This window comes from Homo sapiens, chromosome 5, assembly GCF_000001405.40.
Source record: "Homo sapiens chromosome 5, GRCh38.p14 Primary Assembly".
Classification (NCBI taxonomy): domain Eukaryota; kingdom Metazoa; phylum Chordata; class Mammalia; order Primates; family Hominidae; genus Homo; species Homo sapiens.
Window position 1 is genome coordinate 151,065,226 of NC_000005.10, and position 15,217 is coordinate 151,080,442.

Below are 15,217 nucleotides of genomic sequence, written 5' to 3' on the forward strand. Positions count from 1 at the left end.
TCCCCCACTTTAAGCTGGTCTGACCATATTATAGTAAAGCAGGACAGTCACCTCCTTTTATCTGGACGCTCTGCCTCTATTAATACAACCTTAGAATGGCATTAGTTTCTCTTAGCAGCCTCAATGCACTGTTGGCTTGTTTGGAACAGGAGTCCAAATAAACAGTAGGGTGCAATGTGGGATACAAGAAAGAACCTGGACTTGGAAAAAAAAAAATCTGAGTTCATGTCCTGTCTGTGAGGTCCAGAAGAACAGGAATCCCATATGTTTTACCCATCATTGCATCCTCAGAGCCTACCACAGTATTAGCTATGAATTTTGCCCAATAAACACTTACTCAATTAATGGTCTAGGCATTAATTTACTATGGGATTATGGGCAGTCCCTTCCCCTCTCTGAGGGAGGGAAATGAAAGTCTTAAGTTAATTTAGTAATCTTTAAAGTGAAATGCTTGTACCCTAAGGGATAAGCAAGTCAACCCAGTCCAAAGTTCCATTTATATGTGTATCATCTTCTTTAAAAAAAGAAAAGAAAAAAACACCCTGACTAATATTTAATACACTGTCACCCTCCTCCGTGAGTCTCATATCATATATGGTCTGTCCCTTGCAGTTCTAAGGAACAGAAGAATTTTTCATCAAACCACTGTCTATTTGAGCACCAAGGTTTTTTTTTAGTAATCTGTTCAGTTTCATCTGCTTTATGTCACTGAAACCAGTTGGAAAGGTGATTTTAGAATCCTAACTCTGTGGCTTAGTAGAGAAGCTCTCTGTCCATTCACTCATCCATTCAACAATTACTTATTGAGCATCGACTCCGTGCTAGGCACCAGTCTGGGTGCTGAGGAATTATCAGCAAATAAAACAGACAAAAATCCTTCATGGAGCTTATAGTCTAGGGGTGAAAGCAGAGGAGGATGGTGGGGAACACAATATTTCAGGTAATCAAAAAGTCTATGCACAAAAGGCCCCAAGCATAAGGAGCTATTTTAGCCAAGACCTGAAAGAGGTGAGGGAACTAGCCATGAAGACATCTGAAGGAAGAACATTCTTTGCAGAGAGAACAGTAAGGGCAGAGGCCCTAAGGCTGAAACACCGAGCCAGCCTCCAGCCCTCCAAATAGCTCTCCAGCATGAAAGGGCCAAGGCCTTCACTGGGGACCTCAGAAGGGTTTGGGGGCTCGGCACCTTCCTCCCAAGGTCACCACCCCCAAGACAAAAACTGTTTCATCAGGAATCCTCAAAGACCCTCCCAAGTCCACACACCATGCTCCGTGGGTCCTTGGCGCTGCCAGGTGACTACGACCATACCACCCTGCTCCCAGAATGTAAATGAAAGATCAGAGTGAGAAAGGATTAACAGCAACACCACCATGCTTGAATCGCCTCCTTGTCAGGCACTGCATTAAATGTTTCAGATATACAATCTTGGAGGAGCTGCACAGTAACTCTAACATGCATACTAATCTCATCTGCATTTTACAAGGGAGAAACTGAGGCTCAGGGCGGTTAAGTAACTCAGCCACGATGACCCGGCCGCAATAAGAGCCAAGATGCAAAGTCAGCCCTGCCTGCTGTGACTCTGACCCCCACCATACTCACACAGCCAGGACACAGAGCCAGAGGGGCAGACAGGGAGTTCAAATCTCTTTGTAGGGCAGCACCATGCTATCAGGTCACCTCTGGGCAGTTTCCCTTGCCCTGCAGCATAAGAACCAATAAGGACTTGTCCAAGAGCGTCCATAGGATGGAATGGGCCAGAAAGAAAAACAAAGTTCTGATGAGAAGGACCCCTTCTCCCAAAGACTGACAGATACAAGATGAATACACCGTGTGGGAGGCACCCACGCCCTGCTGAGCCTGCGAGGCAAAGGACAGCTACCCACACTCCCATCACAAGTCATCACCCGGCTTAGGGGTGACTTGTTTTTAACCTGAAAGGTCAGTGTTCTACAGCATAGCACAAAGTGCAGATGTTTCCACCGAACTAAGAAACAGTGTGGGGGCTGCACTTAGCACTGGAACTGGCACATAGTAAAGTACTCAAAAATGTTGGCAGACATTGGGGGTCCTTCCCCTCTGCTTGCCTCTGTCCTCACGAGGCTTGCCACCTGGTACAGCATGTGTCTGACTGGTGCGGGCATTGCCCATCTGGCTGGGAACTTCCTGAGGCAGGAGCGTACTTTGCACATCTTTGTATTCCTGTCGGGAGCACAGGAGGGTGGGCCTTCCTTGAGAGCTGCTTGGAGTTCAAGAACAGTGAAACAGAGGGCTACAAGGGGCCTGGAGCCACCTTGCATGACAAAGGCAGCAGTGTCCTGGTTCTTGTCCACCATTATGCATTCACCCTAAATGGAACTCACAGTCAACACCACATGAAGGCATGGGGAATTTCTTACTCAATGTCTGCCTTGTCCTGTAGATTAGAGGCTGCATGAGGACAGGGAGCAAGTCCATCCTGTGTGCCAGGGTATCTTCAGAGTGGCCCAGAGTAGGGCCTCGGTAAACCTTGAATTCAGAGAAGTCAGACTGAAGGGAACAAGCCCTTGACCCCGACCCCGCCTCCTGCAAGGCCATGTCCAACATCCCAGAGAAAGCCTAACCCTGACCCACTGACCAGACGCACTTGGACGCCCAGACACTTCTAGAATCCAGGCTGGGCCAGCCATGCTCCCTCAGAGAGGCCCAGATGTAAGGCGAAGGGACAAAGCAGGATGCAGGATGTGGGAACTGAAACCCACCCCACGTCCTCCAAAACACGCAACACTCAGTTTCTCTTGGCGCTGGGGAGTCAACGGGAAAGGGGTTCATGGGAAACAAAAAGTGGGCAGACAGAGCTATGCTCCCCTACTTTAGCCTCAGGGGGCAGAGCTTGGGGAGAAAGAAAGGCAGTGGGCAGAGGAGACGCAGGAGAAATATCCTATTGTGGGAAAACCCTCTCTGGAGATCAGAGGAGCCACCCCTGGAGGGCCTGGACTTCTGGAGGAAAGAAAGACAAAGAGGGAAACAGGGAATTTCCAAGTTCTGCTGACCTCATGCCCAGATGGTCAGCGGCAGTCCCTGGATGACCACTGGGCAGACGGGAACTCTCCCTCTGATCAATGAGGTTTTTATAACTTCTCCCAGAGAGAGGACTCATTCTCAGGATGACAGAGCTGGAGGGGACTCTCCAAGGGCAATGAGGCGAATCCTGCATTATCAGGTGGGAGAGAGATGCACCCAGAAACACTCAATGGATGAGGGGCTGCATTCGAACATGACGATGGCATGCACTCCCCTCTGCTGTCCACAAACCACGAGGATGTTTTCAAAGGGGAAAAGGAAGCACTGACCACTCCCCTCCATGTGGCAGTATCTGGAGTTCAGAGCCCAGGAGTCCTCGGGCATGAGCTCATCTGATTCTCACTCACGGCACAGGCAGTGCAGCAAGGCAAGGCCCTGAGCAGGGAAGGCCAAGGTCACAAAGGAGTCAGGATGGAGCTGGGACCAGAAGATCCCTGCTCTCCCTCCAGGCTGCCCACAGCCCATCCTCCATTTCCCTTCCTGCCCAGCAATCCCATGGCACACCACAGGCCCCCACCACATCTTCTCAGAGTCTCTTTCCACCTGGCCTGGTTCCACAAACTACAAATCAGCAGGTGCTCCACCAGCAGTGGGACTCCAGCCCCGCTTGCCCAAACCAGAAACAGCTGGTGGTATAGAAGCAGCCAGCGCAGACTTTCTTCCAAAACAAGACCTCAGCCAGCGGGGCCTCCACAGCCTGCCCCAGAGGGGCCCTGGGGCTGCCCGCTGGAACCAGAAAGGCCCAGTTTGGGGGCAGAAAGGGGCCCAGACAGACGGCAGGTCAGGCAACAACCACAGACCGTGAAGATGGAAGTGATGCTGCTGAAACCGAAGGAGCCACCCACTAGCAGGCAAGCACTTGTGGGTGGCAGGGAGGCAGTAGTCCCCAGGGCTCAACTCTCAGCCTTACCCCAGAAAGAGAGGGGTATGATAAAGACTACATTCAGAATTAAATTTACATTCTAGCTTTTGCTCTGAAATGCTTTGGTCTGTCAGATTATCTTCCCATTAGCAGTGTTCTGGTGGCTGGGTAGGGGGGTGGTCCCAGACCCCCCAAATGATATTCACTTGCATAGCCACTAACATTTGCAAAATACTTCATAGTGTCCCAAGCATTGTTTTTCCATCTGATTATCACAACAGCCCTGGGAAGAAGGCAGGGCTGATACCTGCCTGATGGATAAGGAAACTGAAGTCCAGCTTGGGGACTTAATCAGCCCAATTTAATGCCTTTGGTCACTGGCTGCATCCTGGGGCCAGCTATCCCTGCAACCCTGGAGCAGGTGATGCCCTCCCTGGCCCAGAGGGAAAAGTGTAAGCAAATCTCTGGTACAGGGAGGTGGAAGGTCATCGAGGCCAACATCTACCTCCCCAGCAGAGGTGAGGGCTGCCAGGGATGCTGGCAGGTGGGCTGGCAGAGGGGGTATAGGGAAGGGGTCTCCAGGAAAGACGGCACAGAACAGAACGTCAGAGAGGTCTATTCTAGTGTCTACTCTGCTGTGTATGGAACCATGGGCTCATTCCCTCACATGCAAGGGGAGGAGCATGGGCCACACAGAAACCGGGTGATGGCTAAAGCTGGCCTCAGGATCAAGAAGACCCAAGTCTCAGGAGCTAGCAGCAAGCTGAGGAAAGAGAGAGAGCCAGCACCATGGAAACATCGCTGCCTTGGAGGCAGGAAGAAAGGTCCACACAGGGAAAGTGCTCAAGGCCAACCTTGCGAACACGAGGCCTGAGAGGGGGCCTCACCTGCACTAGCCTCAGCTCTGTCCACCCTGTGGGCTGTGAAACCCTGGAGCAGCCACTCACCTTTCCTGAGCCTCAGGTGCCTCATCTGTAAAGCAGGAGTAATAATAGAACCTACCTGATAGAAGATCAAAGAAATTAAATGAAACAATATGTGTATAGTTGGAAGGGAATTCTCACTTTCTACTTTAGGCAATACTTCCTGATTATCTGATTTAACAAGAAACACATCTTTGTTTTATAATAAGATTTCCAAAATAATAAGAGTATACAGTAACTAGCTCAGCATTTGACACACAGCAGGTGCTTAATAAAAGGCTGAGGCAACCCCACAACTGTGCCCAGCTTATCTAAGGGCCAAGGCTTTCCCCATTTGTTCTCTCCTTTAATGGGATTTTAGGCTCTTCCGTCAGCTCAGTAAGCTAGGTTCTGGCCTCCACTTATTCTCTAGTGACCTGCATATCACCATTTAACTGTGGTTAAGCAGGGTGCCTGGACACACCATAGCTAGTGAACATGTAGCTATAAGAAGCCCTTGAACCACGATGCCACACTCACCAACAACTGGGAATCTGAGCCTCATTTCCTCTGCTGTAAAGGGCAATATCCTGCAATTCCACCCAAGGATGAAAGGAAGTGAGATGCCATGATATCACATTGCAGACATAAACAAAAAACTGTCCACATATTTGTGTTATGATGACCTCCAGTCCTCCCCAACCAATTTCCAGGCTGGGGAAACTGCAGCCTCAGGTCCATCCATCAAAGGCCGGGTTGGATTTTTCAGGCAGTGAAACTACTCTGTTCAATACTGTAATGGTGGACACCTGCCATTCCACATTTGTCCAAACCCATAGAACATACACCACCAAGAGGGAACACTGATGTAAACCATGGACTCCGGGTGACAGTGGTGTCAATGTAGATTCATCAACTGTAAAAAATCTACCACTCTGGTGGAGGATGTTGATAATGGGGGAAGCTATGCCTGTTAGGGGTGGGGGGGGCGCAGTATATGTAAAATCTCTGTACCTTCTTCTCAATTTTGCTGTGAACCTAAAACTGCTCTATAAAAAATAAGGTCTTTAATTTAAAAGAGAAAAGGACCAGGCTGGGCTCTCCTGATGGCTGTCAGGTTCACACATGAGTGAGGACACAGCACATACTTGAGACAGTGTGTATTCAAGGACCGCACCCTGGCATCCTCACCAACAAGGAGCCCAGACTTAACTCCTCCATCCTTGCAATCAACTGAGCAACAATGAGGCTGCAGACACAGAGTCTCATATAGTAACAGCTGGGGCGCCAGAACTGTGGGATCTAGTCAAGGTACACTAGGGCGAACATCTTAACCCTCACTAGGCCTCAGTTACCTAAAAAGAGGGAGCTGCAAAAATAGTAATAACATGGGGGGTTGTGCGGGATAATCATTAAGGCCCCTTCCAGTTCTAACATTTCAGGATCTGAAATTTATTAGCACTACTTTCTTTAACCTTCTAACCTTAAGAAGGCTCCAATCCCCAGCTCCAATCCCTTCTAAGGCCCAGGTGGATTTCCCTAACCCATCAGTCCTCCCATAAGAGCTTTCATAGGTGCTATCCCCTCCCCGAGGGCAGTCAGAGACCCTCAGCTGACATCCGCAGCCCTGTGCCAGGTCCTCCCCTCCTGCCTAACTTGTACCAGGCTCTGGCCAAGCCTGATCTGTGTTCCTCAACATGGCACACATCTTCCCATGTCCTTCATCCTCCCCTCCCGAGTCACCCACAAAGAAGGCCCCACTGTCTCCACTCAGCCTCCGAGGCCCAGATTACACACCACCCGCTAAACACCTGAGCCAGAATTCACACTGCAAAAGAGGACTGGAGAGCACCTAACTAAGCTGGAGAGAGGGTGACAGTTCGTTAGGCGCTACCGTATGCCAGGTGCTGGGCCGCATCATGACGCACATGACCTCATTTTCTTCTTGCCACACAGATATGGAAATTATCATCCACACTTTCCAGCAAGGAAACCAGTCGACGCAGCTACATGGATGAGGAAGCAGACTCAGAGAAGTTAAGTCATTTGCCTGAGAATACACAGCTGGTTAGTGGTAGAACAAATAATGCAGCCTCAATCTGTCAGATTCCAACATCAGTGCCCTTTCCACTGCTCTACACTGCCTGGAGAGGCGGCAGGCTGAAGCTCAGAGGTGGGAAACCAGACCTACTTTCCAGTTCTCCAGAACGTGCCCCAAGTTCCTAGCCCCTGCCTTTATATGTCTCTAGCTTTATATGCAACCAGGTGGCAATCTGCCCCACATCACCTGCAGTCAACAGGGTTTAGAATCTCAGGCTGGAAGGGAGCTCAGAGGACATTCCATCCTGTGCTTACCCAGTCCTCTGAGGAGCCCAGGGACTCCAGCTGGCCAACTTTAGCAATCCAGATCTCACCAACTTCCTCCCCAAAACAATTCCTGGGGCAGCCAGCACTGGCTACAGTTAGGCTGCTCCCAGTTCTGTTTCCACTGGCCCTTCTCTCCCCTCTGTGGTCCCCTGGAATAAGGAACAAGATGCCCATCTTCAGCATGACAGCCAGCCCTGAGGACATTTGGAACCTGCAGCCTTCTCTATACTGTTCCACATAGGGACTGCCCCCCCTCCAGTCCCCCACCAACCCTCTACCCCACACTATCTCTAGTTGGTTCTAGCACTGGACCCAACATTCCAGGCATGGTTTGCCTGACCAAATGCAGGCTTTCACCTCCACCCTTTTAGGTAGTATATTCCTATTGAGGGAGCCTGGGTATACATTTGCTTTTCTTACAGCTGAGTCACCTACTGAAGAATGTCCTTTCTCAATGACAACAACCTGCATGTATGCCTAACTGGTGAGAACAAAGTTCTCATGTAGAAACGTGTGCTTGAGGGCTGGGTGCGGTGGCTCATGCCTGTAATTCCAGCACTTTGGGAGGCCGAGGTGGGCGGATCACCTGAGGTCAGGAGTTCGAGATCAGCCTGGCCAACATGGCAAAACCCAGTCTCTACTAAAAATACAAAAATTAGCCAGGTGTGGTGGCGGGTGCCTGTAGTCCCAGCTACTGGGGAGGCTGAGGTAGGAGAATCGCTTGAACTTGGGAGGTGGAGATTGCAGTAAGCCGAGATCACGCCACAGCACTCCAGCCTGGGAGACAGAGTGGGACTCCATCTCAAAAGAAAAAAAAAAAAAAAAAGGGGTGTTTGAGGAGGTGTGAGTTACCTAAGGGGGCAGAAGTAACTGATTGATTCAGTAATACCCTATCTAGGAATCTAGAGATCTTTGCATCAGTACACAGAAGCTGGACAAAAATATGCACTGCCACATGCTTTGTAATAGACATTTTTGCTATTCTTGAATGTCCATCAAGAAGGGACTGGTTAAACAAACCACCATTCATTCGATGGAATACTATACAGCCATCAAAAAGAATGGGGTAGATTGCTTGGCAATGATACAGAAAGATGCCCATAAAATACAAAGCAAAGTGCAGATTTATATGTGTAACAGGATGCTATTTTTTTCAAAAACACATTGTGTGTGTGTGTGTATACATACGGAATCTTAAATGTGCATAGAAAAAGGCCTGGAAGCCCAGTGCTTTGGGAGGCCAAGGTGGGAGGATTGCTTGAGGCCAGGGGTTCAAGACCAGCCTGGGCAAAAAGCAAGAATAGATTCTCTATTAAAAAAAAACTTTTTTACATTAGCAGAGCATGGTGGCACATGCCTGGAGTCCCAGCTACTCGGAAAGTTGAGGTGGGAGGATCACTTGAGCCCAGCAGTTCAGGCTACAGTGAGCTATGATCATGCCACTGAACTCCAGCCTGAGTGACAGACTAATACTCTGTCTCTTAAAAAAAAGAAAAGAAGAAAAGAAAAAAGTCTCAAAGGATACATACCAAACTGCTACTAGTAGACTGCTCTACAGAAGGACCTCGGTAAGGAACTAAAACCAAAAGAAACTTTTATTTTACCTATGCTATTTTAACTCTTTACATGGGAAATCTAGTCCTGTTCTTATACAATTATAAAATTAGTTTTTAAATACAGTAGGGACAGAGGAAGGGGAAAGGAAGGAGAGAGAAGACAACTGTCATTTTTTACATTATATCTTTTGTACTGCTTGAGTTTTGGGGGGTTTTTCCCCAATAATCATGTGCTATTTGGTAATTTTTTTTAAAGGGAAATTTTAAAATATTTTTCTAAAAAATTTAAGTGAGCTGAGTGCAGTGGTGCATGCCTGTAGTCCCAGCTACTCCAGAGACAGACGCAGGAGGATGGCCTGAAACCAGAGTTTATCTAACCCTGTAACTCCCCTGCCTCCAAGAGGTAAGATGCCAATTTTGGGGAATTCCTCTTATACAAAATATGGTGGAAAGAGGGTTTCACAGATTCAAATCCTGGCTATGATCCCTTCTCGAATGACCCTGGGTAGGCCTCACTTTCCTTGTTTCTCCCTATGGAAATGTTATGAGGACCAAGTAGGAACCATAGAGTTCTCTGTAAACCTTAAAATGCTACCCAGACAGGAGCAGTAATGGCTGCCAAGGAGCTAGGAAGGAAAAGGGGCTGGACAGGGGCTGAGGTACTCAGATGAAAGCCAAAGATGCCTTGTGTTAACAACAAAAAGCTGAAAGCTACCTAAAATGAAGAGAAAAATGAATAAATACATTGTGGCAATTTCCTATCAGGAAATACTATACAGCAGTGAAAAAAGAATGAGCCACAGCTGGAGATACGAACATGAATGAATCTGGGTCTCACTCTGTTGCCCAGGCTGGAGTGCAGTGGCATGATCTCAGTTCACTGCAACTTCCACCTCCCAGCCCAAGTCATCCTCCCACCTTAGCCTCTCAAGTAGCTGGAACTACAGGCATGCGCCACCACACCCAGCTAATTTTTGTATTGTTTGCAGAGATGGGTTTTGGCCATGTTGCCCAAGCTGGTCTCAAACTCCTGGGCTCAAGAGATCCACCTGCCTGCTCTGCCTCCCAAAGTGCCAGTAAGGCATGAGTCACCACGCTCAGCCTAAATAACATTTTTAAACATAAAAAAATACTATGTATTATTTAGGGATGCACACATTAAAAAAAAAACTTTAAAGAAATGCAAGAAAAAAACCCCACTAAATTCAGAACACTTGTTTCTTGTTGGTGGCTGATGAAGGAGAAATTTCAACTGATTGGAAATGTGTTATTTCTTAAACCAGATGAGTGAGCATGTAGGTGCCTGCGTGTTACCCTCGGTATCTGAGAGACTCCTTCAATTTTTCTTTTTTCTTTTTACTGTATTGTTTGCTTTTTTTCTGCTTCAACTTTTATTTTAGATTCGGGGGGTACATGTGCAGGTTTGCTACCTGGGTATACTGCGTGATTTGGGTAGGGGTGATCCCATCACCTGGGTACTGAGCATAGTTCCCAACAGTTTTTCAACTCTGCCTCCCTCCCTCCCCACTCTAGCAGTCCCCAGTGTCTACTGTTGCCATCTTTATGTCCATGAGGACCTGATATTTAGCTCCACTTATAAGTGAGAAAATGCAGCATTTGGTTTTCTGTTCCTGTGTTAATGTGCTTAGGACAATATTTTCTAAAAGTCTATGTTGCCAGTTTCCTGAGGACCAGATCACGCAGGAGTTGCACCTGCAGAGACAGAAGTGGGCTGGAGAGGGACCAGGGCTCCTAAGTCTGCTGCTGAAGCTGACTATAGCGAAGGCAAAGGACAAGTGGCCTGAAGGCCAACAGAGAGCCTGGCCAATGCTCTGCCCAGTGGGTGGAGACTGAGCCAAAGGCCCTTGACTCATAGGGCAGTCCCATACCTGCCCTGGCCTCTCAGCATGACTCCTTGGTGACACAACTCCCACAGCACCCACACACCTACACCCACCTACCCCACACACACACCCCTGCCTGGGCTGCCCGGTTTGTCCACTGTGTAGGTGCTCAAGGACGCAGAGCTCCTGCCTCTCAAGGAACAGCCTCAGGGTGAGGTCCCTGGGAGAGAAGAGTTCAGCTCTGCCCAGAGCAGCCCTCAGACAAACAGCCAGCTGCTGCTCACCAGTCATCCATTCCAATCTGAAGAGTGACTGTCCTGGGCCAGTCATGGGAAAATCATCAAGAACTTCCCACAATGGTCATGGTGGCCGCCAAGGTCTTTCTCTGGGGGTTGGGAGCTGTGCTCCCCCACAAAACAAGGGGACCCAGCTGCCCTGTGCCTTCCTGTGGCAACTCTCTGGAGGATGCCTGGATACCCTCCCTACAGACGGCCAGGGATAGGAGGGGCAGGCACTGCAGGCATGTGGGGGCATAGCAGCAAGAATCTAGGAGGGCAGGCACAGCAAGGCCTGGCCCAGAGGGAAACCAGGAGCTGCCAGAGCCAAAGAGAGGGTGACCCAATCATTGGTTGTTATAGAGTTTTTAAGACTTGGAAGAGAATGCCCTGAGATGCCAGAGAGTGAAACATTTTCATTCTAAAGCTGGGAAACCAAAGTCGGCAAAGGCGAACAGACGTGCCCACAGCCACATGGGACAGCAGTGGCACAGAAGAAATGCACACCTCGTCCTCTGGTGGCCACTGTGCACTCTCTTACCACACCATGCTACTGCTCAACCTCTCCCCCTCCCTCACAGTGGTCAGGTAAGCAATGAGGGAAAATGATGGAGGTGAGAAAGGAAGAACCCGGGCTGATGTGGGCCCACAAAAGAAAGAAGTCTGGAATAACACTGGAAGGGGCTGCCTACGAGGTGGAAAGCGCCCTGATCCCAGGGGTCGGGGTCACGCAGAGGGGCACTGGGGCTGTTGAGGGAATGCAAGCCAGGTGTCTTCAAAGCCCCACCCACATCTGAGTTTCCGCCACTCCAAACAGGGACAGATGTTTGAGACAAAGCAAAGGACAACTCATCCAGAGGGGACACAGCATGGACCACAAGTGGCAGAGGGTTGAAGGCAAGTGTCTTAGTCTGCTTTCTGCAACTATTCTGTTGAATATCACAGACTGGGTAATTTATAAAGAACAAGTTTATTTGGCTCATGGTTCTGGATGATGAGAAATCCAAGTGCATGACACCACCATCTGACAAGGGTCATGCCAAGGTGGAAGACAGAAGGAGAAAATGAGTGATTGAAATAGAGAGTGTATTAGCCAAACTGGCCCCTTTTATAACTAACCTCCCGTCCCCCTACCCCGTGATAGTGACATTAATCTATTTATGAGGGCAGAGCTGACAATCCATTCATGAAGCAGAGGGATTACGTTTCCAAGATATGAACTTTTGGGGGACACATTCAAACCTTAGCAGCAAGTTATCCAGAGCACAGAAAATCAAACCAGTCTCATCATCTTCTACTGGAATCCTGTCAATAGCCTCATGATTAGCATCATTAACGATAATAGCAGCGACCCTGTACCAAGCGCTTACCACACTGGTGGCCCGTGCTGAGTGCTTGCCACACACTATCCCATTAATTCCCACCATTCTAGGAGGTAGCATTGACGTCATACAGAGCTGACAGGTGAGGATGCAGAGGCCCAGAGTGACAGACACGGCACCTACCCAGGTCTGCCAAGCACTGAATCATGTGCTCTTCACCAGGGGTGCTCAAGGAGCAGCCCGGACCAGCGGCACTGGCACCACCACCATCCACTGGATCGGATGCTCTGGAGTTGCAGCCCAGCAATCTGTGTTTAACAACCACCCTCTACCTCCATCCCCAGGATTGTGATGCATGCTCATGTTTGTGAACCAACTGCTCTGACCATTTCCCAATGCTGCTAAGGAGAAAAATCAACATTTCTATGTCTGGTATCAAAATCTTTTAGGGTCTTTCCCAGGCCAACTGGTCAATTCTCCCAACCGAGGAGAGGCTGATTCCAGTTATTGTGACTAGTCTACTAAGTTCCAGAAGAGACCCAGGTTCCACTCTGCACTTTGTCATTTTTTTAGGGTCTGACCTTGAAGTCACTTCCCTCCAGAAGACCCCTCCAACCATCTGGTGCCCCCAAATTACTCTGCACTCCAGTTATACCTATGCCAATCCGACTCATTTGGCACTTACTGGCACACAATGCCTTTCAGGTCACACTCATAGCACATCTCCCCATTTGACCAAAAGTTCCTGGAAGGCAAAGCCAGCTCCTTACGCACCTGTGCATCAAGAACACTGCATGGCACTGGGCACAGGAGTCATCAGGAAATGATGCTTGGGAGAGCGCTAGGAGAGCACTCTGGTTCTCCTCCTGCCTTCTCATCTCTAGGCCTTAATTTCCTCATTTGTGAAATGTGCCATTATTCTACTCATTCACTGAACAAACTCAGAAGAGCCATCCACCAGGCACTCTTCTCCCGCTACAGAAATACACTCGAGAGGACTAAGGAGGTCCCTGCTCACCCCCTTCTATTCTAGGAAAAGAGAAAGACAGTAAACAAATAAACACTAAAAATAACAATTTGCCAGACACTAAGTTCTATACATATGCTTTCTCATTCGCAAATAAGATTCTTTCATAGCATGATACACGTATGAGAAAAATAAAATAGTAACGTGACAGAAAGTGAAAAAAGGGGCTGCTTTGCATAAAAAGATCAGGGAAGGCCCCTCTGAGGAGCTGACATTTGAGCTGAGACTTGATCGATAAGGAAAAACCAGCCATGGGAAAAACGGGGAAAGATGTCCTGGGCAGAGGGAACAGCATGTATGAAAGCCTAAGGATGAGAACAAGCTTGGCTTGCTGGAGGGGGAAAAGCAGGCCAGCATGGTGTGACCAAATCACAGCGGGTACAGGAGTAAAACAGTAACCAGTGGGTTGGAGAGAGAGGCAGACAAACAACCTCCTACAACGCTGCCTCTCTCAAATCAGGTCGGCCTGACCCAACCAGGACATCCGGGCCCCAAGTCACAGGCAGCACTGGGGGTAAGGGTATGACTCAGACCCCACAGCTTCCTGGGGCCCCGAAAAAACTGGTGGGGGTATCCAGGGGCAGGCATCAACCTTCAGCATGAGTGCCATGCCATACCCATGGAACACCCAAGGCTGGGAGACAAACGTGGTTACATAAGCGTGTAGAACACTGCACACTCCCAGCGGCAGCTTCCAGAGGGGCATGATCACGTGCTTCCATGAAGTGCCAGTCCCTGATCACATTATTTTCCCGGGACACAGCCAGGACAGCAGCCTTGGTCAGGGGAAAGGGAACAGGGTCCAGGATTCAAGCGTTGCTAGTCTTGGGAAAGCCTTAACCTTCTCTGGGCCTCAGTTTCCTCATCTGAAAATTAAGAGTTGTTAGAAAGATTAAGTGAGGCCGGGCGGGGCGGCTCACACCTGTGATCCCAGCACTTTAGGAGGCTGAGACGGGCGGATCACTTGAGGTCAGGAGTTTGAGACCAGCCTGGCCAACATGGTGAAACTGTCTCTACTCAAAATACAAAAAAATTAGCCGGGGATGGTGGCGAGTGCCTGTAATCCCAGCTACTCGGGAGGCTGAGGTAGGAGAATCGCTTGAACCTGGGAGGCAAGTTGCCGTGAGCCGAGATCGTGCCACTGCACTCCAGCCTGGGTAACAGAGTGAGACTCTGTCTCAAAAAAAAAAAAAAGATTAAATGAGATACGGAATGTAAGCACTGTGCCTGGCACATAGTAAGCTATTAGCATTATCAGTTTTTTCACTGCCTCAGTTTCTTCTGTTGCAAAACAGAGACCACCACGGGGATGCTGAGTTTGTACTAATATTCTACCCTCCTAATACAATTCTACCCTCCTTTGTCAAGGATTTTTTTAAAACATTCTGAGTCCCCTTTTCTGACCTCTCATCAGATGCCGAATTCCCCTCTATCACACCCCATTGTTTGGAAAATGAGTAAGTGCTGATTAAATCCCATTTTGACCGTACTGTGAGAAAAAAATGATGCATTAGGAATCTACACATTTCCCTGCACTGTCATTCTGCAAGGGGGTGGGGAAGGACGTTGCTGATTCTTCTGCATCATCCACAAAAGTCCCTCCCTCCCCCTACCAAAACACAATCTCTCACCCAGTCGCACAAAATTCCCATCTGCTCCTGTACGCACAATGAATGTACAATGCACACGTGCACACAAATGTCCTACAGTGGAAAGCTCAGCCTTCATACTCCATCCCCAGAAGCACTCCTGGAAACTCATCCATCCTGCACATGCACACAAATGCCTCCAACAATGTGCATACAAAATATGTTCAACAGAAATAGTATAGTAGGAACTCTGGAGCCAAATGCCTGAGTTCATATCTGACTTTGCAACTCACAGCTGTGTGACCTCAAGCTCCAAGTACCTCGGTTTCCTAAAGTATAAAATGGAGATAATAACAATATTAATGTTTAGGATGGAAGTGACAATTAAATGAGTCTAATACACGTACAGCGT

At 48.7% G+C, this 15,217-nt stretch overlaps 1 protein-coding gene across 34 annotated transcripts in view, besides 3 other annotated features; it reads right to left on the reverse strand.

Moving 5' to 3' along the window:
• The window catches only part of TNIP1 (TNFAIP3 interacting protein 1), a 57,743-nt gene that overhangs the window by 35,283 nt on the left and 7,243 nt on the right, over positions 1–15,217 (reverse strand). For 3 of the 34 annotated variants that reach the window (XM_047416626.1, XM_047416619.1, XM_047416621.1), the window contains exon 1: positions 2,398–10,546. The exons of 26 other annotated variants lie outside the window; for them this stretch is intronic. The gene's annotated coding sequence lies outside the window, so the exon portion shown is untranslated. Of the gene's footprint in view, positions 1–2,397; positions 10,547–12,963; positions 14,406–14,923; positions 15,135–15,217 lie in introns of those variants that run through there. 5 more of the 34 variants (XM_047416620.1, NM_001437742.1, XM_047416618.1 and 2 more) reach the window with 4 other exon arrangements.
• Positions 1,168–1,910: an enhancer, noted in NCBI's record as "H3K27ac hESC enhancer chr5:150445954-150446696 (GRCh37/hg19 assembly coordinates)". NCBI's record gives its function as "activates a minimal SCP1, AML or CMV promoter by ChIP-STARR-seq in naive and primed H9 embryonic stem cells {active_cell/tissue: H9 hESC(naive and primed)}" and the evidence as "EXISTENCE:reporter gene assay evidence [ECO:0000049][PMID:30033119]".
• Positions 1,911–2,653: an enhancer, noted in NCBI's record as "H3K27ac hESC enhancer chr5:150446697-150447439 (GRCh37/hg19 assembly coordinates)". NCBI's record gives its function as "activates a minimal SCP1, AML or CMV promoter by ChIP-STARR-seq in naive and primed H9 embryonic stem cells {active_cell/tissue: H9 hESC(naive and primed)}" and the evidence as "EXISTENCE:reporter gene assay evidence [ECO:0000049][PMID:30033119]".
• Positions 13,639–13,688: a silencer, noted in NCBI's record as "silent region_16518". NCBI's record gives its function as "represses an Ori minimal core promoter by ATAC-STARR-seq in GM12878 lymphoblastoid cells {active_cell/tissue: GM12878}" and the evidence as "EXISTENCE:reporter gene assay evidence [ECO:0000049][PMID:35858748]".